The following is a 27,030-nucleotide window of genomic DNA, read 5'->3' as shown; positions in this document are numbered from 1 at the left end:
TGGTTTCAGGAGATAAGGCGACTCTATTAGCACCTGAAGGTCAAAGACCCCAATTCTTATAGGACCCTGGGAAGTGAAGATACCCCTACTCCTATTAGCCCCTAGAAAGCCAAGCCTCTAATTCCCTCTGGAGTGAGGAAACTCAAATTTGAATTCATTTTCGAGTATTAACGATTGCAAGGTTGCACCAGTCCAAGCCAGCTTCTGTGAGGCAATAGACGACAACTCCCATCAGCGCCTAGAAGTTAAAAACCCCCACTTCTGGCCAGACACGGTGGCTTATGCCTGTAATCCCAGCACTTTGGGAGGCCGAAGTGGGTGGATCACTTGAGATCAGGAGTTCAAGACCAGCCTGACCAACATGGTGAAACCCCGTCTCTACTAAAAATACAAAATTAGCTGGGCGTGGTGGTGCGTGCCTGTAATCCCAGCCACTCGGGAGGCTGACGCAGGAGAATCACTTGAACCCAGGAGGTGGAGGTTGTGGTGAGCCGAGATCGAGCCATTGCACTCCAGCCTGGGCAACAAGAGCAAAACTCTGTCTCAAAAAAACAAAACAACAAAAAAACCCCCAAACTCCCTTCCCATAAGCCTCTGGGACACGGGGTTCCAGTTTCCATCAACCATTTTTTTTTGTTGTTGTTGTTGTTTGGAGTTTTTTTTTTTTTTTTTTTGAGACAGAGTCTTGCTCTGTCGCCCACGCTGGAATGCAGTGGCACGATCTTGGCTCACTGCAGCCTCTGCCTCCCAGGTTCAAGCAATTCTCCCACCTCAGCCTCCCAAGTAGGTAGGACTACAGGTGTACCACCACACTCAGCTAATTTTTGTATTTTTTGTAGAGACGGGGTTTTGCCATGTTGCTCAGGCTGGTCTCGAGCTCTTCAAGAAATCCGCCCATCTTGGCCTCCCAAAGTGTTGAGATTACAGGCATGAGCCACCGCGCCTGGCCCCAAAAGCTCAATTTCTATGAGCTCTTAGATGGCTGGGATTCCTGCCCGAAGCATAAACTCCCATGGCCCTGCCTCCCTACGCCAAGAGTGGAGTGGGAGCGACCATGCACCGGTCCGGACAATAGCCCCTCCCTACCACCACACCTGGGAAAGCCTGAGAGCAGGTCCCATGAGCGCCGGGCAGACAGCTTCCCGTGTGGTGAAACCTGCGCCAGCATCGACGGACCTGATGTCAGTTCATCCGGGGGACTGGGTGCCGGGGGGGAACACGAGGGCTGTCCCCTCTCCGGCTTCCCAGCCCAGCTGTCCTTTGGGTCACCAGAGTTTGGACAAAGAGGCCCATTCTCTGGAGTCTGGACAGCTGGACCCCCACCCCCATCCTTCCTGGCGGGTGATTGACTTTGAGATAGTGACTCAGACCTCCTAAGGCGGCCCATTGTTGGGGTGTCCAGCCACGGCACCCGAAGTTATGCCGGGGGAGGAGGGGGGCTCTCCAGTGCTCCAGAGTTGGGGTTTGGGAAGATCCTTTGGGCTTTGCTAGGCCCCTTGCCTTACAAACAGGAGGCATCTGCCCATAGCAGATTGGGTCTGGTCGAGGGCACCCTGCTTGTCTAGCAGAGCGCATTCCATGCAGTGCCACAGGGCGAGGAGCTGGAGCTGGGGACACGGTAGGAGGATGGTTGCCCTTGGCCTCAGGCCCAACACAGCGTGACAACAGTGGGGTTCCCTGTGTGTCAGGGGCTTCCCTGTGCAACAGGCAAGGAACTGGGCCTTCAGCGGTCCAGCCTGGAGAGCTGCAGGTCCCCCAGGTCCCCCTAGGCCCTGTTTCTGGAGAAGTCCCACCCTGGTAACCTGGAGAGGGAGGATGGGGTAGGGCTGGGTGTCTATAAATACCTACAAATATTTCTTGTTCTCGTAGACGTCGTGGAGCTTGAGGACATGTGGGTGTTCGATGAGCTTCAGGATGGCGATCTCCCGCTCCACCTGAGGGTCAAGAGGGGTGGGGACACGGGAAAAGAGGTCAGCACGGCCCCGCCCCTGCCCTCAGCCCCGGAGGCCCCCCCACCCGCAGGCACACTGCAGCAGGCGCACACACCTTCATCAGCACCGACTCCGACAGCTTCTCCCGGTTCACGATCTTGATGGCGACCTTCTGACCCGTGATGCAGTGGACCCCGAGTTTAACCAGCCCTGCAGGAGCAGGGTGAAAATGTGGGGTGTTCCGCCGGGTCCCCTTCGTCCCCAGCGCCTATGTCCCCCCTTGGCCACCCTGTTTGCTCCTTCCTCCTGGGCTGGCTGTTTAACAATGGCCTGAACACATCAGACCTGAACTCCTGGGGCTGAGAGCCCACACTCCCACAAAACCACCCTTCCCCTCCCTCCTGCCAGTCCGTTCCTCCTGACTGTCCATCCAGCCAGGTGCCCCTCTCCTCTGCCAGCCACCCCCTGGCCCTCACCCTCTCCGTCCTGGGGAGCCCGCCTGCCACGCATTCTTTCCTCACCGTGTCTCCCCGAGTCTGTCTCCTCCAAGCCCCCGCCCCCCCACTTTCTCTGTCTCTCTCCATCAATTCCTTGTATTCTCTGCTTTTCAATCTTTTGGAGACCCTATGACTCCCAACGAATATAGTCTCACATTTGCCCCCTCCCCAGACCACCCTCCACCTCCTCCTGAATCCCCTCCCAGTGAATATAATCTCACATTTGCCCCTCCCCAGATCACCCTCCACCTTCTCCTGAACCCCCAGCCTCAACTGCCTTCCTGGGTCTTCTCTTCATGGCAGCCCTAACAGACAGCACACAGACACCAAGGGTATGTCCGGTCTCCTAGCCCACACCTCTCCTCAGGACCCTCGACTCCAGGACCTGAGCCCCCAAAGCCACAGACCTAGCCCTGACTAGCCCCTAAAGCTGCAGGCCCAGGCGTCCAGACCCCCAGCCCCTCCTCCCTCAGACCCAGGAGTCCAGGCCCCCATTCCATCCTCCCTCAGACCCAGGAGTCCAGACCCCAGCCCCTCCTCCCTCAGACCCAGGAATCCAGCCCCCCCAGCCCCTTCCTCCCTCAGACCCAGCACTCCAGGCCCCCAGCCCCTCCTCCCTCAGACCCAGCACTCCAGGCCCCCAGCCCCTCCTCCCTCAGACCCAGCACTCCAGACCCCCAGCCCCTCCTCCCTTAGACTCAGCACTCCAGACCCCCAGTTCCTCCTCCCTCAGACCCAGCACTCCAGGCCCAGCCCCTCCTCCCTCAGACCCAGTCCAGGTCTGACCCCTTCTTCTCCTGTAACTCAGGAATTCAGGTCAGCAACACCTTCACACTCTTACCACTCAGGATCTGGGACTTTGACCCTCTCCTTTTCCCTAGGGTCTCAGCTCCCAGTTACGGCCCAGTCGGTCCCCACTCCTGCCAGCTCTGGCCCTGAGCTTCATAGAGACTCTGGGCGTTCAGCTCCCATGTCACCTCCACCCACCATCCATCCGGCAGGAAGGAGGCCGCGGCCGGTGGCCAGCGTTCAGCAACAGCAGAGGATGAACGCCCTTTCCACAGCCGCTCCAGGAGACGCGCCTGCTGCAGCCCACCTTCCCACCCTCCATCCTGTTTCCCACTCTGAGCCAGCATGCCAGAGAAGGGGAGAATGTCTTAGGCCCCACGGCCCCTGTCACCCCAACCTGCTGCCTGGAGAACTGGAGGCCAGAGGACAGTGGGGAGGGAAGAGGTTTCCCAGGATGGATGCACTGCACCCCGGTCTGCAGCTGTACTGCAGCAAGAACCTCAGGTCCCAGCCCGGCCCCACTCTGCAGGCCGCCTCCATCCCCTCCCTGGCCCTGGAGCCCCTCCAGCCTCTGCCCCTATGGGGACTGGAGCACTGGGGCCCCAAACTCCCTGTCCCAACACTCAAGGTTCCGACCGCCCTCCTCCCTCAGACTCAGGAGTCCAGGCCCCCAGCCCCTCCTCCTTCAGACCCAGGAGTTCAGCACCCCTGCCCCTCCTCCCTCAGACCCAGGAGTCCAGACCCCAGACCCTCTTCCTTCATACTCAGGAGTCCAGGCCCCCAGGCCCTCCTCCCTCAGACCTGAAAGTCCAGGACCGCAGTCCCTCCTCCCTCAAACCCAAAAGTCCAGGACCCCAGTCCCCTCCTCCCTCAGACCCAGAAGTCCAGACCCCCAGCCCCTCCTCCCTCAGACCCTGGAGTCCAGGCCCCCAAGCCCTTCTCCTTCAGACCCAGGAGTGCAGGCCACCAGCCTCTCCTCCCTCAGACTCCGGAGTCCAAGCACAGCCCCTCCTCCCTGAAACCCAGGAGTCCAGACCCCCAGGCCCTCCTCCCTGAAACCCAGGAGTCCAGGCCCCCAGGCCCTCCTCCCTCAGACCTAGGAGTCCAGTGCCCAGCCCCTCCTCCCTCAGACCCAGGAGTCCAGGCCCCCAGCCCCTCTCCTCCAGGACCTGAGTCTGCGCCCCCCACCCCCTCCATCCAGGGACCCAGGAGTCTGAATCCCAAGTCCCTTCTCTATGAGGGGCCCAGGGGTCTGGGCAGCCAGCCCCTGCCATTTGAATACCCTGAGTCCCGCCTCTGCCGCCACCTCCACCCTGCCCCCCGCCCCAGGTGTCCCCTTCTGCTAGGCTCACCTGTCTGTCCTTTGCCCAGCGTCTTCTCCAGCCGATAGGGGCCCACATATTGGGCGTGCTGGGGTGGGTGGGGGTGGGGGTGGGGGAGGTGGTAGGCGGGAGAGCCCCCACCTCCCTCCTTGGCCCCGGACGACATGGTGCCCTTGGTCCCGGCCCGACCGGTCCCCCGGCCGCCCCCCCTGCGGCCGTCGCCCCGTCTCTCCGGTGGGGGCCGGCGACCGCTCCGTCCCGGCCCCCCCGGCTGCCCCCCACCTCTCCGGGGGTCCCCAGGGGGCTGGGCTGGCCCCCCCCAGTCGGCGGGCCGCGGAGCTGGGGGAGGGGGGGCTGGCCCGGGGGGGTCAGGCCCCGGGAGTCAGCATGGCCCAGGGGGGCTGCGGGGCCCCCCCTCCCCAGCCCGTTTCTGGCCGGCCCCCCGCTTCCTGCGCCTCCCCCCGCCGGGGGGGTCTGAGGTGCGGGCCGGCGGATGCTGCAGGCCGAGGTCCCCCCCGCCCCCCCACGCGCCCTCTCTCCTCCGCCTCCTCCTCCTCTCCGCCTCCCCCCGCCACCTCGTCCTTTCTCTCCGGCACGCTGACATCACCATCCGGGGACTCCGGGCCCTTCCCCAAAGTTAACCCTTTCGGAGGGGGGAGGGGGAGCGAGGGGGGGCAGGGGGCGGGCCTCCAGCTGGAGGGATGGAGAGGAGGTGGGAGGATGCAGGAGAGAGGATGGAGGGAAGGATGGAGAGAGAGAGAGAGGACCCAACAGATGGGGCAGAGATGGAGATACACAAAGAGAGATGCTGGCTGACACAGAGACGGGAGACAGGCAGAGACGCCAGAGGGATGGAGACCACCAGAGACAGGCTGAGGCAGAGAGGGAGGAAGGGCAGAGATGGACAGGGACAGAAGAGAAGGAAGGAATGGCAAGCCGGGAAAACAGACAGGGAGAGGGAGAGAAAGCTGCTGGAAGCCGACAGAGGGATGGAGAGAGTCAGAGATTCAGAGAGACAGAGAGAGGAAGACCAACCAGAGAGGTGGGGGAGAGGGGGCGCAGATGGAGCTGTAGAGAGGGCCGGGGGTACACACAGGTGGAGGGACACGTGCTGGGGAGAGGTGGGGACATATGGAGGGAGACAGAGACAGAGAGGGGAAAGAATTCTTGGAGTTGCTGACCCAAAATTCATGTCTGTTTCCCCAGCCCCCTAAGGCCACCCATTCAGGGTAAGGGTAAGTCTGTGTCCCCACCAATGTCAAGGCCCCATATCTACCCACAGCCCAGAGTGATTTTGGATTCTCTTTACAGAGAAGCTTCCAGAACCCCCTCAGTTTCCCTGTGTTATGTTTTTAGACCCCCATATATTCTCTGTGCTCGTCATAGGGTCCTTTATATCTTCATGTGGACCCCAGTACAGCCCATACATCCCCACTGTAGCAGGTCCACAAGCATGTGCTCTGCCTGTGAGTAACCCGCCTGCCCCCATTAGCTTTCCGCATAAACCATAGATCCCTCTATGTCATGTACCCGCAAGTGTTAGACACCCATTTAATTCTCAAGTCCCCTGTAAAGCACACCCAGGGCTGGGCAAGGTGGCTCATGCCTGTAATCCCAATACTTTGGGAGACAGAGGTGGGAAGATCAGCCTGGGCAACACAGTGAGACCCCATCCCTACAAAAATTTTTTTAAAAATTAGCCGGGCATGGTGGCATGTGCCTGTAGTCCCAGCTACTTGGGAGGCTGAGGCTTGAGTCAGTGAGTTCTAGGCTGCAGTGAGCTACGTTTGCACCACTGCACTCCAGCCTGAGCAACAGAGTGAGGCCCTGTCTCTAACAAAAATAAAATAAAATAAAGTGCACACAGGAGCCTATTGGCTCCTGTGAGATTTCCCAGTCCCCCATTCAACACCTTGAGTCCACACATCTTTAATGAGTGCCAAATCTCAGCCAGGCACTGTTCCTGTTGGTAAGAACGTGGCAGTGACCTAAATCAGCAAAAAGGCCTGTCCTGTGGAGCTTCCATGCTGGTGGATGAAACAGATGATCAGCAAGGTCAATAGGCAAAATGTATGGTGTGTTAGATAATCATGTCCGTGCTGAGGAGGTGACTACAGCAGGGAAGGGGGTTAAGAGGGGCCTGTTGAGCAGGGTACAATTTTAGGCGTCCGGCTTTTTTTGTATTTTTAGTAGAGATGGAGTTTCACCCTGTTAGCCAGGCTGGTTCTGTAGCCTTTTTTTTTTTTTTTTTTTTTTTTTTTTTTTTTTTTTGAGACGGAATCTTGCTCTGTCTCCCAGGCTGGAGTGCAGTGGCACAATCTCAGCTCACTACAACCTCCACATCCTGGGTTCAAGCGATTCTCCTGCCTCAGCCTCCCGAGTAGCTGGGATTATAGGCACCCGCCACCATGCCTGGCTAATTTTTGTATTTTTAGTAGAGATGGGGTTTCACCATGTTGGTCAGGCTGGTCTCAAACTCCTGACCTTGTGATTTGCCCACCTCAGCTTCCCAAAGTGCTGGGATTACAGGCGTGAGCTACCACACCTGGCCTGGTTCTGTAACTATTGAGTCCCTTTTTGCTCTCAAATGTCTTGCTATAGATGAAAAATTATATGATCACCCTCTTTTTTTTGTTTTGTTTTGTTTTTTGAGACAGGGTCTTCCCCCTGTTGCCTAGGCTGGGGTGCAGTAGGGCAGTCATAGTTCCCTGCAGCCTCGACCTCCTGGGCTCAAGTGATCCTCCTGCCTCAGCCTCCTGCCTAGCTGTGATATAAGCAGATGCCATCACACATGGCTAATTCTTGTATTTTTTTGTAGGGCTGGGGACACACTATGTTGCCCAGGCTGGTCTCGAGCTCTTGGGTTCAAGTGATCCTCCCACCTTGGCCTCCCAAAGTACTGAGATTATAGACCTGAGCCACTGCCCCCGGCCATGTATTATAAACTGATAGACTTGTACATAGATGTCCGTGTCCTAATTCCCAGGATCTGTGCATAAGTTACCTTGCATGGCTGAAGGGACTTTGCCCATGTGACTGAGATAGGGAGATTATCCCAGTTATTTGGGTGAGCTCGATGGAATCACAAGAGTATTTGTGAGAAGGAGGCAGGAGGAGCAGTCAGTGATGGAGATGGGAAGGTGGAAGCAGAACTTGGGGTGATGGGGCCACCTGTCAAAGAAAGAGTGTGGCCTCTAGAAGCTGGAAAAGGCAAGAAAAACATTCTCCCCGAGAGCCTCCAGAAGTGATGCAATCCTGCTGACAGTTTGATTTCAGCCCCGTGAAACCCATTTTGGATTTCTGCCCTCCATAACTGCAAGATAATAAATGTGTGCTGTTTTAAGCCACCACATTCTTAGTAATTTGTTAACAGCAGCAATAGGAAACTAATATAATAGCACATCCACAGGCCCAGATGCATCTCACAGCACAGTGCTAGAAACACCACACACACACACACACACACACACACACACACATACACACACAACCTATCTGTTTGGTCTTCCTGTTTCTGCCCAAAATATCCCCCTGCACAACCACGCCCAGCAGGTGATTGATACGTTTGTGACTGTGTGCCCGTTTTGCGTTGAGCACAACCTTTTCCTGGAGGAAAACGCCTCCTATCCAGGATCAACACGGGAGTTTCTTTAAGCCCAGCCCAGGGCCAACACCTCTGCAGATCGGCCCGCACCAGCACGTGCCCAGGCCTAAACCCCACTTCTGGAGCACAGAGGCCTCGGGCCTCCCCACCAAGCTGGCTCCTCTGGCGCTCTGAATCTTGCTGGGCTCTGGGGCACTTTGCTTTCCGGCTCTAGGCCTCAAGAATCCTCTCCTCTCCACCTGGCAGGACATGGGGAAGAGTCCATGAGGGAGAGGCTGGGTGATGAGAGGGATCCACGCCGCAGCTCCACTTGACAGATGGAGAAACTGAGGCCGAGAGAGGGGTTGCGGGGGGCATAAGGCTCACAGGCCAGCCATTACGGTTGCGACCCCAGGGCTCCTGTAGATGGGGTTGGTGGCCCCGGTGGAGGCGAAAGTCAGATTAGTTGGGGCGAGGTCCCAAACCTTCTAAGGATGACTGACAGCAATGAGTGGGAGGGGCCTGTAAAGGGGCCGGGGCCCAACTGGGAGAGTCTGAAAGGCCTAGAGCAGGGGCGGGAATCGTAGGGTGGGCGGGGTCAGACCTGGGGGCGGGGCACACGTTAGAAGAGGGGTGGAGCTTGCAAAAGTATCGGGGGCGGGACTCGCTGAGGTGCGAAAACTGGGCCAGGGGCAGGGCTTTGACCAGCTACTTGAGCGTGAAGGGGCGGCGCCCGCACGAAGGGGCGTCCCAGCTTGGAGGCGGGGCCCGGATGGGAGGGGCGGGGCCGAGTGCAGTATCCCGCCAGGTGAGAAGGGGATAAGAGTCGGGCAAGCAGCTTCAGCCGCAACCACGGCACGAAGTTGGGTGGGTACGCCTGGCACTTCCGGGTGAAACCGTGCGTATTTCCGGTTAAGATGGCGGCGCCCAGCAGAGTCAGGTGCGGACGACTTTGTCTGTAGGAGCAGCGGCGGCTTGAGGACCCGGGGAGGTGAGATCCGCCTTATTCCGGCGCCCCTCTTCGGAGAGGAGGGAGAAGACTTGTTGCTAAGGAGACCAAAGGGCGGGCTTGTTGCTACGGAGGCGGAGCAGTGAGGTTGCTAAGAGACGGGACGCACGCAGTGGAGATGGGGAAGGGGGGTTGTTGCCAGGGAGAGTGGGTGGGGCCTGTTGCTAGGGAGAAAGGAGAGGCTTATGACTTTGGGGAAGGGTCCTGTGGGTATGAAGGAAGGAAAAGGGGCTGTGGTTAAGTGGGCTGGGGGCAGAGTGGTTTGGGGTCATGGGGGGTCGCCGAGCTCCCCTGAAACGCCGCCTTCTCAGCAGACCCTCAAGAATCGACCCATCAGGACGCCAGAGCTGCTTCAGCGGTGACCACCTTCTCCCTCTAACACATTCTTCCCTTCTTCACAAACGGCCCATGTCAGACGAAGGCTCAAGGGGGAGCCGCCTGCCCCTGGCGCTGCCCCCGGCCTCCCAGGGTTGCTCTTCAGGGGGCGGCGGCGGCGGCTCCTCGGCTGGGGGCTCGGGCAATTCCCGGCCCCCACGCAACCTCCAAGGCTTGCTGCAGATGGCCATCACCGCGGGCTCTGAAGAGCCAGACCCTCCTCCAGAACCGATGAGTGAGGAGGTAAAGGATGGGGACCCAAGAAGCTGGGGTGAGGGGCCTGGGGACAGATAGAGTTGCCTTGGGAAGTGTGACTTGGGGAGCCACAAGAAGACTAGGGTCTTCTTGGGTGGGAGGCAGAAAACCAGGTGTGGAGGCATTGTGGGCTATAAATTGTGCTAGATGGGGTTATCGTTGACTGAAGGTCAGATCTCAAGAGAGTCTGAGGGGACATATCCTCTCCAGAGCCAGACTAACCTGGATTCAGCATTTCCAGCTGTGTGACCTTGGGTATATTACTTCATCTTTCTGAATCTCAAGTTCTTCATTTACAAATTGATAATAATAATAACTACCGTATAGGGTAGTTCTGAGGTTCTACTTTAAGTAGGGCTGCACACAGTGCCCAGCATACAGACAGTGCTTCTGAAGGCAGCAGTGTGTTTTCATGAAGAGCACAGGCTCTGTAGTCAGACTGCTGTTTTTTTTTTTTTTTTTTGGTGGGGGCAGGGTTGGGGGTGGAGGACACAGTCTCGGCTGGAGTGCAGAGGCGCAGTCTTGGCTCACTGCAACCTCTGACTTCCCGGTTCAAGCAATTCTCATGCCTCAGCGTCCCCAGTAGCTGGGATTAGAGGCATGGGCCACCATGCCTGGCTAATTTTCGTATTTTTAGTAGAGAAGGGGTTTCACTACATTGGCCAGGCTGGTCTCGAACTCCTGGCGTCAAGTGATCCACCTGCCTCGGCCTCCCAAAGTGCTGAGATTACAGATGTGAGCCAGCACGCCCAGCCTAGACTGCTTGGGTTTGATTTCAGGCTTTGCCAATTGCTGACTGTGTGACCTTGGGTAAGTCTCAACCTTTCTGTGACTCAACTTTCTCATCTGCGAAGTGGGGATAACAATGATATATACCTCATAGAGTTGTTTTGCAGATTCATAGCGATAGCTATTATATATAATGTTTAATCGACAATTACTGTATACAGAGCATTATGCTAACCCACTTACATATATGATATCATTGAACCTTTACAACAGTGAGGCATGAAACAGGCACAGAAACATTAAATAGCTCACTCAAATTTACTTAGAACTGTGACTAAGGAGACCTCTGCTCCCCTCCCTCACCCCCAAAAATTCCAGCAGTCACGTATTAGCTCTCATCTCCTTTTTCTTTGAGATAGTCTCACTGTGTTGCCCAGGCTGGAGTGCAGTGGCCTGATCTTGGCTCACTGCAACCTCTGTCTCTCAGGTTCAAGCGATTCCCTTTGCTGCAGCCTCCCGAGTAGCTGGGATTACAGGCTCACGCCACCAGGCCTGGCTAATTTTTGTATTTTTAGTAGAGACGGGGTTTCACCATGTTGCCCAGGCTGGTCTCAAACTCCTGAGCTCAGGCAGTCTACCCACCTCGGCCTCCCAAAGTGCTGGGATTACAGGGATGAGCCACAGCTCCCAGCCGATATTTGTTGACTGAAGGAACATCAGCCCTCAGTTGTTGGCTGTCTTTATTAATGGCTGTTCCTTTGTAATGAATGACTGATGGATCTCCTTCTTTCCTCCTCGCCTTGGTCTCCAGAGGCGTCAGTGGCTGCAGGAGGCCATGTCGGCTGCCTTCCGAGGCCAGCGGGAGGAGGTGGAGCAGATGAAGAGCTGCCTCCGAGTGCTGTCACAGCCCATGCCCCCCACTGCTGGGGAGGCCGAGCAGGCGGCCGACCAGCAAGAGCGAGAGGGGGCCCTGGAGCTGCTGGCCGACCTGTGTGAGAACATGGACAATGCCGCAGGTACCCCGCTTCCCCCGCCAGGACGTTCTGCCCCTCTGTACATGTCCTGCTGCCTCTCAGCTCTTGCCCCTACTCTTGGGGCTCACACCGTCAGCCTCCCTGCTGCCTTCTCACCATCAGCCTGTTCGCCTCCATTGCCATAAGGAGCAAGGCTCTGCCTCACCCTCATGGCAGGTGGAGTCCCCCACTTCCCTGATCAGCTCTGAGATGGCTGTTTCTCTCCTAGTCCTCTGGGTGTCCACTGCCACTCCCCAGAGTACAAGAGGGAAAGTGGCATGGGTGGGGTGGCAGAGAAGGCCTCCCCGGGGTGACGTTTGATCAGAGACCTGAAGTGAGGTGAGAGTTGTGGGATGATCTCTGGGAAAAGCATTCCAGACAGTAGGAACAGCCAGTGCAAAGGCCCTGAGGCCAGAGTGTGCCTGGTGTGTTCAGGAACAGCAGCCAGGCCCTTGAGGCAGAGTAGAGTGAGTGAGGGGCCAGGCGCAGGAAACAGCGCTGGGGTGGGCCTCGCAGATGGGGAGGTAAATGCTGTTTTACTCCAAGCAGCAGAGCTCACAGAAGGTTTGAGGAGAGCTCACTTCCATTTGGAGGGGTTGGGTGGTGTAGCAATTGAGGGTGTGGATTTGGGGTGTCACTTCCTTGGTTCATAGTTCAGGCTGTGCTGCTACATGGCAGTCTGGTTTGGGCAGGTCCTGATTACTTCCTCTTGTACGCAGGCTGGGCCGAGAGAAACCCCCAGGCCCGCACAACACCAGGCACAGAGTAAACGTAACGTGTCAGGCCTGGGAGTCAGGTGTCTTCATTTTGGACAGGGGCTGGACGGAGTTTGGGAAGCCCTCCTCTGTGAGCGCATGCAGCACCCCGAGAAGACCTGCAGTGCAGCCGCCACCCTCTAGCTTACCTTTCCCCAGTGTCTCCCCGTCTTATCCGGGCAGAGAACTCCTGCTCCAATCCGCAGGATGGCTTTTAACGACTTTGCTCTTTCATTCATTTTTTGCTTGTTCAGGAAATATCTGTTGAGCAGCTGCTGTGTGCTAAGCACTGTGCTGAGTGTCCAATCATCACAGCAGCAGCAATTTTACACCTTATTAGTAATCAAATGAGAACGAAAGCCAAAGATACCACTTCCTCCCTGGCCTCGTGCGCTCTCTGTGTATATAAATATAAATATATATGTGTATCTTCTCTGTCTTAATGAAGATGCACAGTGCTGATGAAGGTGGGCTGAGGGGAACATCCTCCCATATGACTGTTTATACCACTTACAGTCAATTCAGAATGTTGTGCAACACCACCTCTATTTCCAGAACTTTTCCATTGCCTGCAAAGGAGACCCAGCACCCATTAGGCCGGCCCTCCCCCGGTCCCCTGGCAACCACTAATCAGCGTTTTGGCTGTATGAATTTGCCTGTTCTGGACATTTCATATAGATGATTATAACGTGACCTTTTGTGTCTGGCTGATTGTGCTAAAGGCGGCGTGCCCATGTTGTGGCGTGTGTCAGAGCTTTATTCCTTTTTTTTTTTTTTTTTTTTTTGAGTCAGTCTCCCAGGCTGGAGTGCAGTGGTGCAATCTCAGCTCACTGCAACTTCCACCTGCTGGGTTTCAGTGATTCTCATACCTTAGCCTCCCAAACAGCTGGGATTACAGGTGCATGTCATCAGGCCTGGCAAATTTTTTTTTTTTTTTTTTCTGAGACAGAGTCTCACCCTGTTGCCCAGGCTAGAGTGCAATGGCGCGATCTCAGCTCACTGCAACCTGTGCCTCCCGGGTTCAAACGATTCTCCTGCCTTGCCCTTCTGAGTAGCTGGGCTTATAGGCGCCCACCACCATGCCCAGCTAATTTTTGTATTTTTAGTAGAGATGAGGTTTCACCATGTTGGCCAGGCTGGTCTTGAATTCCTGACCTCGTGATCCACCCACCTTGGCCTCCCAAAGTGTTGGGATTACAGTCATGAGCCACCGCACCTGGCCAGGCCTGGCATTTTTGTATTTTTAGTATATAACATAGCAAAAACCCTGTTTTGCTATGTTACCTGGGCTGGTCTCGAACTCCTGGCCTCAAGTGATCTGCCCACCCTGGCCTCCCAAAGTGCTGGGATTATAGGCTTGAGCCACCACGCCCAGCTGCTTCATTCCTTTTTATGGCTGAGTAATACTCCGTTGTATGGCTAGAGCAGTTTATATTTATCCCTTTATCCTTTAAGGACATTTGGGTCATTTATGAATGATGCTGCCATGAACTTGAGTATATAAGTATCTGAGTCCCTACTTCTGGTTCTTTTGGGTCTGTGCCTTGGTGCGGAATTGCTGGGTCACGGGGAATCTGTATTTCATTTTTTTAGGAACTGCCACGCTCTCCAATACCACTTTATTTACAAAAACAGGAGGTGGGCTGTGGTTTGCTGACCCTGGGGACATTCAGATTGTCACAAAGACCAGGATCAGTCCTGGCATTTAGTAGTCTGGAGCCTGGGGCCCTAATGCCCCAAATGCTGATGGAATCGAGTTGTACTAGCCTTGGGGGGACCTCTGGTTGGGTGTTTGGAGAGAGCTGCGTCCCTGTGGGAGCCGGCCTGGCTCTCCCGGCCTCAGCAGCTGTAGTGGTCAGCTTAGGGCCACCTTAGCCAAGCACCACAGACTACTGGCTTTAAAAACAGAAATGTATTTTCTCACGGCTCTGGAGGCTAGAAGTTTGAGATCAGGGTGTGGGCAGGGCTGGTTTCTCCTGAGCCCCCCTCTCCTTGGCTTGCAGAAGGCATTTTTTGTGTCCTCCCTCCATGTTGTCCCTCTGTGGGTGTCTGTGTCCTCATCTCTTCTTCTTATCAGGACGCCAGTCAGATTGCATTAGGGCCCACCCTAAGGACCTCATTTTACCTTAATGATCTCTTTAAAGATCCCATCTCCAAAAACAGTCACATTCCAAGGTACTGGGGGTCAGAACATCAACCCATGCATTTTGGGGGGCACGGTTCAGTCCCTAACATCTGGCCTCTCTCTGCTCCCCTCTGTGGCACAGACTTCTGCCAGCTGTCTGGCATGCACCTGCTGGTGGGCCGGTACCTGGAGGCGGGGGCTGCGGGACTGCGGTGGCGGGCGGCACAGCTCATCGGCACGTGCAGTCAGAACGTGGCAGCCATCCAGGAGCAGGTGCTGGGCCTGGGTGCCCTGCGTAAGCTGCTGCGGCTGCTGGACCGCGACGCCTGCGACACGGTGCGCGTCAAGGCCCTCTTCGCCATCTCCTGTGAGTGTCCGGGTGGGGCTGGGGACAGGGGTGCTGGCGGTGGGGGGGGGTGCCGGGTGGGCCCCCGGGATCTGCTGGGGCAGAGGGAGAGGCATCTCCTTCCCTCGTTTGTTCCCATGCTTGTTGGACCCCTGCACGGCTGAGTGCTGCGGGCAGAGTGAGTGGCGCACTCGGCCAAACCCCCTGCTAGCCAGGCAGCAGATGTGACCACTTCCCGGGGAGACCACCTGGCCCTCAGCGTGAGCGCTTTGCACACAGCAGTTTTTCAGCTGGGCACTGTTCACACTGGCGCTGGTTCACTCTCTCGGGGGCCGTCCTGTGCACTACAGGACATTGAGCAGCATCTGGTGGGTGGCCTCCAGGCCATGGAGAGACACTATCACCCCACCTGCCAGCGCACAAATGCCCCTAGATGTAGAAAGCCCCTTGGTCAGAACCCCTGCTGTACATGAATTCTTCTTCTTCTTTTTTTTTTCATTTAACCTATATAGAGACAAGACTTGCTTTGCTACCCAGGCTAGTCTTGAACTCCTAGCCTCAAGGGATCCTCCCGCCTTGGCCTCTGAAAGTGTTGAGGTTACAGGTGTGATCCACCATGTCCAGCCACAAATTCTTTTTATCCTAATGGCCTGTGAAGTAGGGACCGTTTGCATCCTCATTTGACAGGGGAAGAAACTGAGGTGTGGGCAGAGGGACACGGCCAGGTTTCTGCAGCTCCATAGGGCAGAGCTGGCCAGGACTCCCCCAAATACTGCCGCCTGGGACACAGGCACCAGGTCGGGCACAGGGACGGGACAAAAACCAACATCTGTGGGGCAGTTTCTCCATGCCAGGTGTTGACTCGCTGAATCCTTATGCACACCTGCTGAAGTTGGGCCCACTGTGTCTCCTCCACACGGGAGGGATCGGGCCAGGGGGTCTGGAGAGGACACACAGAGCCAGGATCCCAGCCTGGTGGAGCTCTTCGTATGTGCTGGATGCCTGCCTGCATGTGCTATACTAGCGCCCCAACTGGACTCTTTCCTTTTATTTTCTCTAACAGCTTTATTGAGATGTAATTCATAGGCCATACAATTCATCCTTTTAAAGTGTATAACTTAGTACTCTTGGCCAGGCGTGGTGGCTCACATCTGGAATCCTAACACTTTGGGAGGCCGAGGCGGGAGAATTGCTCGAGCCCAGGAGTTTGAGACCAGCCTGGGCAACATAGGGAAACCCCTGTCTCTACAAAAATTAAAAAATTAGCTGGACGTGGTGGTGCGTGACTGTACCTCCATCTACTCAGGAGACTGAAGTGGTGGGATTGCCTGAGCCTGGGAAGTTGAGGCTGCAGTGAGCCATGATTGCATCTCCAGCCTGCGTGACAGAGCAAGACCTGTCTGAAAACAAACACAAAAACCAGAAAAACAACGTAGTACTTCTTAGTGTATTCAGTGCTGTGCAGCCATCATCACTCTCTAATTTTAGATGTGATCAGACGCGTTCGGGGTGGTATGGCTATCGGCAGTCACTATCTAATTTTGGAACATTTTCTTCTTTTCTTTCTTTTTTTTTTTTTTGAGACAGAGTCTCGCTCTTGTCACCCAGGCTGGAGCGCAATGGCGCGATCTCGGCTCACTACAACCTCCTCCTCCCAGGTTCAAGCAGTTCTGCCTCAGCCTCTCAAGTAGCTGGGATTACAGGCGCCCGCCACCGCGCCCGGCTAATTTTTGTATTTTTAGTAGAGACGGGGTTTCACCCTGTTGGCCAGGCTGGTCTCAACCTCCTGACCTCAGGTGATCCACCCGCCTCAGCCTCCCAAAGTGTTGGGATTACAGGCGTGAGCCACTGCGCCCGGCCAAAATTTCAGAACATCTTCATCCTCTCCCCCAAGCAGAAATTCTGTACCCGTTAAGCAATCACTCGGCGTCCGTCCTCTCCCGCAGCCCCTGCAACATGAATCTACTTACTGCCTCTAAGGATTTCCCTCTCCGGGACATTTGTACAAACGGAATCCCACACCGTGAGGCCTTTTCTGCCTGGCTCCTTTCATATGCTGCAAGGTCCCCGAGTGGTGGCGGGTGGCAGTGCTGTGTTCCTTCCCGCGGCTGAATGTGTCCTGTTGCGTGGGTCCACCGTGCCCTGCCTCTTCCTCCGCCTGTCTGCTGACAGTCCCTGGTTTCCTTGTATCTCTGGGCTCTCGTGCTCCTGTGGACATAGCTGCGCAGGTGTTTTTATGGACATTTGTTTTCCGTTCTCTTGGGTGTATACCTAGCAGTGGAGTTGCTGGGTCATATCGTAACTCTACATTTAATCTGTTCGAGGTTGGCTTTTTTTTTTTTCTTTTTTTGTTTCTTGAGACGGAGTCTCGCTCTGTGGCCCAGGCTGGAGTGCAGTGGCGCAATCTCGGCTCACTGCAACCTCCACCTCCCAGGTTCAAGGGATTCCCCTGCCTCAGCCTCCCAAGTACCTGGGTTTACAGGCACATGCCACCATGCCCAGCTAATTTTTTTTGTACTTTTAGTACAGAGAGACGGGGTTTCACCCTGTTGGCCAGTCTGGTCTCAAACCCCCGACCTCAGGTGAGCACCTCAGCCTCCCTAAGTGCTGGGATTATAGGCATGAGCCACTGTGCCTGGCCTGAGGTTGGCTATTTTTTAATTCCAGCAGCCTATCTGGTCATTGAAATGGGGGCTGTGAGGGGGGTCCAACACCCTCTTTCTCTCCCTCACCCCCATGTATCCTGAGTCCTGGAATCAGTGTTGTGTTCCTGGCAGATGGTGGCCCCAGCCATGCAGAGGCTGGGAGGAGAACAGGGAGGGTTTGGGTAGGAGGAGATTCCGGAAGAAGGAAGCATTCTGATGAGGCAAGGAAAGGGGCACTTGGAAAGTCACAGCCAAAACTAGGGTGACAGGGACAGACAGACATGGGGCAGCTCGGCCACAAAGGGCAGAGAGAAGGACATGGTGTCCCGAGGGCCAGAGCAGGGTAGAGAGGGGCTGGCAGAGTTTTCTTCTAATAGCTTGCATTAAAAAAGAAGTCTTTAGGTCATCTTGGTGGTTCACACCTGGTCCCACCTACCTGGGAGGCTGAGGAGGGAGGATCATCTGAGCCTGGGAGGCAGAGGCTGCAGTCAGCTGAGATCGTGCCACTGCACTCCAGCCTGGGTGACAGAGTGAGACCCTGTCTAAAAAAAAAAAAAGTCATTACATATTTTTAAAAATCTGTGAGACAGTCACATCGTTCACCAGGTACAAAAGAGTACATAGCAAATGGTCCCTGTCCCCAAACCTGGTCCCCATTCCAGAGAAAACCACTGTTATACCTGTTTCTGCTTCCAGAGATTTTAATAAATCTGTAAGAACAAATGTGGGTGTGTGTGGTGTGTGTGTGATGTGTGTGTGTAGTGGGTGTGTGGCGCGTGTGTAGGGTGTGTATGGTGTGTATGTGGGGTGTTTGGCGTGTCGTGTGTTAGTGTAGCGTGTACATGGGTTGTGTGGTGTGTGGTATATATGTGGAGGTGTGTGTGGTGTGTGTGTTGCATGTGTATGTGTGTGGGATGTGTGTGCTGGGGGGATGTATGTATATGTGTGGGGTATGTGGGGTGCATATGAGGTGTGTATGTGTGGTGCGTATGTGTGGTGTGTGGATGTGCATGGCGTGTGTGGGATGTGTGGATGTGGTGTGTGTATACGGGGTGTGTGGTGTGTGCTTATGTGGAGTGTGTCGTGTGTGGTATGTGTGCACACAGACACACGGATTAATCTCGTTTCCTCAGATGTGCACGGCTGGCACAGGCCATCCTGACTGTGGCGCACCTTGACCTGCCTCTGTCCTTTTTTCTTAAGCAACAGTAGCTTATCTTTCCCCTTCCTGCGGGTGAGGAATGCAGCAGTGGCCCCTGCTGAGGAGGGCGGCTTCTGGCTTTGCGTCTTCATGAGGTTGCATGAGGTTGCATGAGGTTGTGGTCAGCCGTCAGCCGGGCCTCGTTCCCTGAAGGTCTCATTGCACTAAGCCCTGTGCGCTGCACCTCATTGATCCCTCACAATCCCCCTCTGAGGAAGGGGTGCTAGAGATGGGCTTCCACCATGGCTCGCCCCGGGGCTAGCAGAGTTTTGCTGGCAGTTGGCAGGAAGCTCGGGCTGCGTGAGCGGCCTCACCACGTGGTGGTCGGCTTCCCCAGCGAAAGTTGTGCACGATGCAGGGCAAGAGCTCTGGGAGCTTGGATGCCATTCTTTTTTTTGCTCGGGGGTAAAATTCACATGAAAATGTTAAAGTATACCATTCAGTGGCATCTGTCCTTTTTTTTGGTGGCTGCAGGGTATGCCATTGTGTGGCTGTCCAGTACCATTACTGGAGTTCCGTGCTGGGAGCCATTTGCAGGGTACGTCCCCTCAGCTCCTGCTGCCCGAGGCGGTGGTGCCACTGCCCTTCCCAGGACAGGAGGGGATGGACTCGCTCGCCCTCTGTGGAGCCACTCCAAAGTGGTTCCTTGTTACAGTCTACCAGAGTGGCACATTTATTACAATCGATGAACCTACATGGACACCTCATTGTCACCCAGAGTCCATAGTTGACACTGGGGCGCACTCTTGATGCTGTATGTACTATGGGTTTGGACAACTGTATCATGACATGGATCCATACTGTAGTATTCTACAGAGGAATCTCGCTGCCCTACAAATCCTCTGTGCTCCCGCTAGTCATCCCACCCCTGAGCTTTTTACTGTCTCCATAGTTTTGCCTTTTCCAGAATGTCATATGCTTGGAACCATGCAATCTGCAGCCTTTTCCGACTGGCTTCTTTGGCTTAGTAATCTGCTTTTAAGGTTCTTCCATGTCTTTTCTTGGCTTGATAGCTCATTTCTTTTTAGCGCTGAATAAGCGTAACTTTTTTAAGGGAGATGTGTGGGCTGCAGTGATGACTTTGGCTTTCTTTCCAAAAATGACGGCAGCCATACTGTGATCCCTGCCCCCAACTGCTGCACAGAGAAGAGGGTGAATGCGGCGAGGGTGGGTGGAAGGTGGGCGGTGAGCTGGGGGGTTATGGTGATAACCTAGGCAAGAGATCAAGGTTGTGGTAGGGAGCAGTGGTTCTCAAACAGGGACAATCGTGTCCTCCACAGGACATTTAGACAAATGTCTGGAGACATTTTTAGTTGTCGCAGCTGGGAGAGAGGGACTATTGGCATCTACTGGGTAGAGGCCAGGGATGCTGCTCAACATCCTGCAATGCACAGGACGGGCCTCCCAACCCAGAATGATCTGGCCCCAGATACCAACCGTGCCCAGGTGGAGAAACCCTGGCGTAAAGGGGACAGGTCTCTCCTGGGTACATTTTGAAGGTAGAGCTGACAGGCCTTGCTTACAGATTGAATGAGAGGAGTCTTTGTGTTTTCCAGTCCATGCATGCCTGTTCTTTTTTCTTTCTTTAATTAAATAACATCTGGCTGGGCGTGGTGACTCATGCCTATAATCTCAACATTTTGGGAGGCCGAGACAGGTGGATCACTTGAAGCCAGGAGCTCAAGACCAGCCTGGCCAACATGGTGACACCCTGTCTCTACTAAAAATACCAAAAAATTAGCCAGGCATGGTGGGGCATGCCTGTAATCTCGGCTACTCGGTAGGTTGAGGCATAAAAATTGCTTGAACCCGAGAGACGTATGTCGCAGTGAGCCAACTGCCACTGCACTCCAGCCTGGGCGACAGAGCGAGACTCTGTCTCAAAAATGAAATAAAATAAACTAAAATAAATAAATATGTAACCCAATATGTCCAAACTATTATAATTTCAATGTGTAATTAATATGGACTATTAATGAGACACTGTATTTTTTGTCATGCTAAGTCTTCAAAACCTAGTGTGTGCATTTTACAAATGAAGCACATCGCAACATGCTGAGTTTTCAGGGGTAGTGTGGAGTGCGCCAGAGCAACAACGTTGTGTGTGTTTTTCTTTTTTTGGTTTTCTTTTTGTGTGTGTGTGAGATGGAGTTTCGCTCTTTTTGCTCAGGCTGGAGTGTAATGGCGCAATCTCGGCTCACTGCAACCTCCACCTCCCGGGTTCAAATGATTCTCCTGCCTCAGCCTCCCTAGTAGCTGGGATTACAGACGCACGCCACCACGCCCAGCTAATTTTGTATTTTTAGTAGAGACGGGGTTTCACCATGTTGGTCAGGCTGGTCTCGAACTCCTGACCTCAAGTGATCTGCCCACCTCGGCCTCCCAAAGTGCTGGGATTACAGGCATGAGCCACCGCGCCCAGCCAACGTTGTGTTTAATGGAAAATATTTTACACTGCTTCAGTTTTTCACCTTAAGTTTAAATGAATGGAACTTAAATGAAATGAACAACTCTTTTCCTTAGTTGCACTGGCCACATATCAGGTGTTTAGTGGCCACAAGCTACTAGCAGCTTCTGTCCTTCTTGGCCAGCACAGGCCTAGAGCCTACCCAGGAGGGGGCACCTTACTGGAGGTGCACTCCAAAGGTCAGTTCTCATCCTGCTGGGAGTCCTTCCAGAGTTCTCATTGCCCTCTGGATAAAGGTCATGCATGCTGTGTAGCCTGGCTCTTTAGGCCTCAGTTTCCTCATCTGTAAAATAGAATTCTGAAAGCACACACTTCCAGGATAATTGTGAGGATTAAAAGATGTTGCGGACTGGGGACGGTGGCTCACGCCTGTAATCCCAGCACCTTGGGAGGCTGAGGCAGGTGGATTATGAGGTCTGGAGTTCAATACCAGCCTGGCCAACATGGCAAAACCCTGTCTCTACTCAAAATACAAAAATTAGCTGGGTGTAGTGGTGCATACCTGTAATCCCAGCTACTCGGGAGTCTGAGGCAGGAGAATAGCTTGAGCCTGGGAAGCAGAGGTTGCAGTGAGCCAAAATGGTGCCACTGCACTCTAGCCTGGATGATAGAGCAAGACTCTGTCTCAAAAAAAAAAAAAAGAGAGAGATGACACAGCCGGGCGCAATGGCTCATGCCTGTAATCCCAGCACTTTGGGAGGCCCAGGCAGGTGGATCACTTTAGGTCAGGAGCTTGAGACCAACCTGGCCAACATGGTGAAACCCTGTCTCTACTATATATACAAAAATTAGCCGGGTGTGGTGGCAGGTTACTATAATCCCAGCTACTTGGGGGGCTGAGGCTGAAGAATAGTTTGAACCTGCGAGCGGAGGTTACAGTGAGCCAAGATTGCTCCACTGCACACTCCAGCCTGGGCAACAGAACGAGAGTCCATCTCAAAATGAAATAAATAAGTAAATAAATAAAATAAAAAAATTAAAAAAGATGATGCTTCCATCAATGGAGGAATGGATAAAATATGGTATATCCATACAATGGAATGTTATTCAGCCATGAAAAAGAATGAAGTGCTGATACCACTTACGACATGAATGAACCTGGAAAACATCATGCTGAGTGAAAGCAGTCAGACACAAAAGGTCACGTATTTTATGGACACATTTATATTAAATGTCTGGGACAGGTAAATCCATAAAGGAAGAAAGTATATCTGTGGTTGCAGGGGCCAGAGGGAAGGGAAATTGGGAATGACTGCTCATAGGTTTCCTTTGGGGGGTGATGAAAATTTCCTAGAGTTAGTGGTGATGGTTATACAACCCTGTGAATATCTTTAAAAGGCTGAACTGTGTGGATTGTGAATTATATCTCAAAAGCATACTTCAAAAAAAGATAATGCTTGCATATGCAGGCCCATGGCAAGGGATGATAGTGGTTGGTGGTGATGATGGTGACGATGATTGACGATAATTATATTGTTAATGGTAGTGATGATGATGGCGGTGATGGTGATGTGGTGGTGATGGTGATAGTGATGGTGATAGTGATGGTGATGTTGGTGATGTCATGGTGATGATGGTGGTGGTGATGGTGGTGGTGGTGATGGTGATAGTGATGGTGGTGGTGGTGAGGATGGTGGTGATGGTGATGGTGGTGAGGATGAGAATGGTGATGATGATGATTGTGATGGTGGTGAAGATAGTGGTGATGGTGGTGATGATGATGTTGGTGATGGTGGTTGTGATGATGTTGGTGATGGTGCTTGTGATGACAGTGGTGGTGGTGGTGACTGCAAGCTCAGGACCTTTCCCCCTCTCCCAGGTCTGGTCCGAGAGCAGGAGGCTGGGCTGCTGCAGTTCCTCCGCCTGGACGGCTTCTCTGTGTTGATGAGGGCCATGCAGCAGCAGGTGCAGAAGCTCAAGGTCAAATCAGCATTCCTGCTGCAGAACCTGCTGGTGGGCCACCCTGAACACAAAGGTGTGGCAGCCCTTGAGTGAGGGCAGGAGTGGGGAGCAGACGCCCTGGGGTGGGTGCAGGTGTGGGAGAAGGGGAGGAACAGGCATCCCGGGGAGGGCATAGGAGATGGGTGGGGCTGCCCCTCTGACCCCTGCAGCCCTCCCCCCAGGGACCCTGTGCTCCATGGGGATGGTCCAGCAGCTGGTGGCCCTGGTGCGGACAGAGCACAGCCCCTTCCACGAGCACGTGCTTGGAGCCCTGTGCAGGTACTTTGGCTCCTTGAGAGGACGGGGCCTGGGGTGGGGGCCCCGTCCTCTCAAGGTGGGGGTGGCTCAGGAATCAGCCCGTAGGGACTCAGGAGTTGGGACCTTCCCGTAGAGAGGAAGGGTGTGGGGCCAGAAAGGAGCAGGAGTCAGGGAGCCTCAGTTTCCTCACCAGTAGGGCTGGCACAGAGGCCTTGCAGGAGGGAGAGAGGCTTCTGTACACGCCCCCACCAGTGGATTAGTGTCTAATCAGATGATGCTGGAGCTCTCAACAGCACACCAGAGTTGACACGCACCAGGCCCTGTGCTGAGCCCCTCAGCACCCACCCTGGGCCAGGGGCAGCGTGAGGTCCATTCCGCAGATGGGGAAATGGAGGCCCATTGTGGGGCAGCGACTTGCCAGGCTCCTGAGTGAGCCAGGGGACGGGGCGGGCGATAGGGTTGGGTCAGTGAGGCCTCTAGAGGGAGGTCCTAAGGGCCGCTGTCATGTCCCTCACAGCCTGGTGACAGACTTTCCGCAGGGTGTGCGCGAGTGTCGGGAGCCGGAACTGGGCCTGGAGGAGCTCCTCCGCCACCGCTGTCAGCTGCTGCAGCAGCATGAGGAGTACCAGGTACATGGGGAGGGGACGGGGTGCAAGGAGGACCAGGTGCAAGGGGGAGGGGACAAGGGCTCCAGGAGGACTAGGTGTGTGGGGAGGGGATGGGGTTCGAGGAGGATCAGGTGCCAGGGGGAGGGGACAGGGGCTCCAGGAGGACCAGGTACACGGGGAGGTGACGGGGTGCAAGGAGGACTAGGTGTGAGGGGCAGGGGATGGGGTTCGAGGAGGATCGTGTGCCGGGGGAGGGGACAGCGGCTCCAGAAGGACCAGGTGAGTTGGGGAAGGGACAGGGTGTGAGGAGGACCAGGTGTGAGGGGGAGGGGCCTGGGGGGTGAGGAATTCCCCAGGTTAGACCAAGTGTGGTAGTGGGGACCCTAGTAGGGGCAGAGCCAGCCAGTCCTTGCCCTTGGGGGCTCCTGGGTCCGCTGGTTCAGGCTTTCATTCGTGTTCTCGTGCATTTCACTTATCTTCCATTCAGCAGATGTTTATTTCATGCCTAGCATTCGTCCCGTGCTGTGTCAGAGTAGGAGAGACAGCAAGGAGACAGGAGCTTGGAGATTCTTAAAGTGTTGCCCAATCATTGAATTATTATCTAAATTACCCAATACAGTTGTTTTACATTAAGTAAATGTAAATTGAATATAATATCACTCAAATGTCTTAATGATTTAACTATTTCATTAAATTGACAAGAAATAACAAATGGCAAAAAATAACCAATTATTTTGGGTAAATAACAAGTGATAAATAACAAGTCATCAGATATTTAATTAGATAAGGGGCAAATAAATAACTCATTAGATAACTAGATAAGTAACAAATGCTAAATCACAACTAATTAAAATTCAAATAGTTAACTGATTAAGTAATGCATTAATTTGTTGAAGTGAATGAATCAATGCTGGTGCTTCAGCAAAGCCGAGCTTAGCAAACGCACCCACCTCCTTGGGACGTTATATTCTATTAGATTCATTCCTGTGTAGACACTGTCAAGTGTCTGTATGTATTGAAAGTGTACTACATGGCCAGGCATGGTGGCTCACGCCTGTAATCCCAGCACTTTGGGAGGCCGAGGCAGGCAAATCATGAGGTCAGGAGTTCGAGACCAGCCTGGCCAACATGGTAAAACCCCATCTCTACTAAAAATACAAAAAATTAGCTGGGCATAGTGGCAGGTGCTTGTAATCCCAGCTACCCAGGAGGCTGAGGCAGGAGAATCGCTTGAACCGGGGAGGCGGAGGTTGCAGTGAGCCAAGATGCGCCACTGCACTCCAGCCTGGGCGACAGAGTGAGACTCCATCTCAAAAAAAAAAAAAAAAAAAGTGTACTACATGAGAAGTTTTGACTTATGTATACACCCGTGGAAACATTCAAATTAGATTTGTAACAGATTTTACTAATGCTTTGTGAATAGGTTCCGTAGTCACATGGTTGAAAATACAAGACCCGCAGGAGGGTAAACAGTGAAAAGTCTCTCTCCTGCCCCTCCTTCTGGCTACCCAGTTGCTCAGGTGTCCTTCTTAAAATATTAGGTACACACGAGCAAAGGTGCATGTGAATTCTCCTTTTTCTCTATGTTATGCAAAATAAGCCTGCCGTGCTGTGATGGCTGTTCTGCCCCTTGCTTTGTGGGCATTGCATGTCTCGCCTGTGGCTCTTTCATTTTGCAGCTGTACAGTGCGGATGGGCTCTTTTTTGTAGCATGGATATGCAGGTTGTTTCTACACTCTCGCTATGACAAACACTGCTGAAAGAATAACCTTTTGTATATGTTATTACATATGTCTGTAGAACAATTTCTAGAAGGGAAATGGCTGGGGTCAGGTATGTTAAAGGTGAAGGTTAAAGGGTTAAGGGCCGTTTCATTAGCTATCACCAAGCTGCTCTCCATAGAAGTTCAACCATTGACACTCCAGTCATGAGGGTGCCCAACTCCCCAAATCTTGGTCAGGACAAAGTGGCCTCGATGAACCATTTGACCTTTTTTCAAACTGATTGTTGAAAAGTAGTACTCCAGTCCAGTTTACATTTCTCCCATGAGTGAAATTTGGCATCTTTTCTCTTTCTTGTGAACTGTTCGTTCTCATCCTTTGCCCACTTATCTATTTATTGGGTGATGGTTTTTGCGAATGACTTTTTTAAGCTCTTTAAGAGTTAAGTATATTAGCCATTTGTGCTATGAATCACAAATATTTTTCTCCAACCTCGTTTTCTTTTTCTTTTTTTGCCATGGGAGTATTTTTTATATTACGTAGTTTAACCTCTCAGTGCTTTCTTTCATGGTTTCTGGGGTTTGTATCCGCAGAAAGTTTTGAGCAGTGGTCCATATCTGGGAGTTAGAAAGAGCCCAAGAGTGCTGATATGAGGCAGACCAATGGAGTGAGACGAGTCTGGGGGACCCCGGGTTCTAGTTCAAGTAGTTCAGACACCAGTGTGAAGACAGTGAATCATGGATCTGAGCAGTGATTAAAAAAGCCTAACCTCTGGTGGGGGGGAGTGGGTGGTGGCCAGGAGAGAAGAGGAGTCACCTCTGGGTGCCAAGAATGCTGGAGGCAGGGTCCGGCCTCTGCACTCAGGCCCCTTGCTCCCTGCCCCTGCCCAATCCAGGAGGAGCTGGAGTTCTGTGAAAAGCTGCTACAGACCTGTTTCTCCAGCCCAGCGGACGACAGCATGGATCGGTGAAACCAGGTGGCTTCTTGCCCCCTTCTCCGTGGGAACCCCAGGCCTCTTGCCTCCCTCCCCACCTACAAGGCCCTCTCCCAAGGGATCGCAGGGCCTAGGTGCCTGGACCCAGGGTGTGCCAGCCCGTCTCTGTGCAGTCCCTGGAAGGGGCGCTGAGAAAGGCACCAGCTCCTTGGACCCCACCTCCCATGCTCTCACTCTCATCCCCGTTCTCTTGTCCACACAGCTCTTCCAATAAAGGTGTTTCTCTTCCTCCTTCTCCTCCTTCACTGCCGCCTTTGTCATCTCCTTTGGAGGGTGCATGGGGGACGGGAGGAGGGGCACGGGTTTAAGGGACTTGGGGAGCCACTGGAAGAATAATAAAAGTGTTGCTCTTTATCATCTATAGAGCCATTGTGTCATTTACTCTTCCCTGTCTTTCCTGAGCAACAGTGTGTGGGACATCTGTCCTTTTTTCGGCCACCTGGCAAACCTGAATTCTAGGTTTGAG

The 27,030-nt window shown here is 53.9% G+C and overlaps 2 protein-coding genes across 10 annotated transcripts in view, besides 5 other annotated features; one reads left to right on the top strand and one right to left on the bottom strand.

The window, feature by feature from the left end:
* BRSK1 (BR serine/threonine kinase 1) overlaps nt 1-5,151 on the bottom strand; it is a 28,566-nt gene extending 23,415 nt beyond the window's left edge. The window contains exons 1-3 of the mRNA NM_032430.2: nt 4,570-5,151; nt 2,047-2,141; nt 1,849-1,934 (exon numbers count right to left, since the gene is read on the bottom strand). Coding sequence (NP_115806.1) covers nt 1,849-1,934; nt 2,047-2,141; nt 4,570-4,705 — 317 coding nt within the window. The 5' untranslated portion in view covers nt 4,706-5,151. The remainder of the gene's footprint in view (nt 1-1,848; nt 1,935-2,046; nt 2,142-4,569) is intronic.
* Nucleotides 8,676-8,905: a silencer, noted in NCBI's record as "silent region_11021". NCBI's record gives its function as "represses an Ori minimal core promoter by ATAC-STARR-seq in GM12878 lymphoblastoid cells {active_cell/tissue: GM12878}" and the evidence as "EXISTENCE:reporter gene assay evidence [ECO:0000049][PMID:35858748]".
* HSPBP1 (HSPA (Hsp70) binding protein 1) lies at nt 8,765-26,925 on the top strand. Of its 9 annotated transcripts, none has more exons than XM_011526691.2 (9): nt 8,765-8,930; nt 9,040-9,113; nt 9,446-9,749; nt 11,302-11,506; nt 14,526-14,750; nt 22,862-23,017; nt 23,166-23,262; nt 23,781-23,870; nt 26,466-26,925. In XM_011526691.2, the coding sequence occupies exons 3-9, from the start codon at nt 9,540-9,542 to the stop codon at nt 26,776-26,778; spliced, it is 1,296 nt and encodes a 431-aa protein (XP_011524993.1). In that variant the 5' UTR covers nt 8,765-8,930; nt 9,040-9,113; nt 9,446-9,539; the 3' UTR covers nt 26,779-26,925. The 9 variants fall into 9 exon arrangements, with proteins under 9 accessions (XP_011524993.1, NP_001123578.1, XP_024307204.1 ...); NM_001130106.2 differs by having other exon boundaries at nt 23,759-23,870; XM_024451436.2 differs by having other exon boundaries at nt 9,443-9,749.
* Nucleotides 9,026-9,165: an enhancer, noted in NCBI's record as "active region_15089". NCBI's record gives its function as "activates an Ori minimal core promoter by ATAC-STARR-seq in GM12878 lymphoblastoid cells {active_cell/tissue: GM12878}" and the evidence as "EXISTENCE:reporter gene assay evidence [ECO:0000049][PMID:35858748]".
* Nucleotides 10,947-11,447: an enhancer, noted in NCBI's record as "H3K4me1 hESC enhancer chr19:55789069-55789569 (GRCh37/hg19 assembly coordinates)". NCBI's record gives its function as "activates a minimal SCP1, AML or CMV promoter by ChIP-STARR-seq in naive H9 embryonic stem cells {active_cell/tissue: H9 hESC(naive)}" and the evidence as "EXISTENCE:reporter gene assay evidence [ECO:0000049][PMID:30033119]".
* Nucleotides 12,799-12,908: an enhancer, noted in NCBI's record as "active region_15088". NCBI's record gives its function as "activates an Ori minimal core promoter by ATAC-STARR-seq in GM12878 lymphoblastoid cells {active_cell/tissue: GM12878}" and the evidence as "EXISTENCE:reporter gene assay evidence [ECO:0000049][PMID:35858748]".
* Nucleotides 18,236-18,735: an enhancer, noted in NCBI's record as "H3K4me1 hESC enhancer chr19:55781781-55782280 (GRCh37/hg19 assembly coordinates)". NCBI's record gives its function as "activates a minimal SCP1, AML or CMV promoter by ChIP-STARR-seq in primed H9 embryonic stem cells {active_cell/tissue: H9 hESC(primed)}" and the evidence as "EXISTENCE:reporter gene assay evidence [ECO:0000049][PMID:30033119]".
* Nucleotides 26,926-27,030: the final 105 nt, after the last annotated feature.

This window comes from Homo sapiens, chromosome 19, assembly GCF_000001405.40.
Source record: "Homo sapiens chromosome 19, GRCh38.p14 Primary Assembly".
NCBI classification, from domain to species: Eukaryota; Metazoa; Chordata; class Mammalia; order Primates; family Hominidae; genus Homo; species Homo sapiens.
The sequence above is the reverse complement of the archived record's forward strand: the minus strand, read 5'-3'. Positions and strand labels throughout refer to the sequence as shown.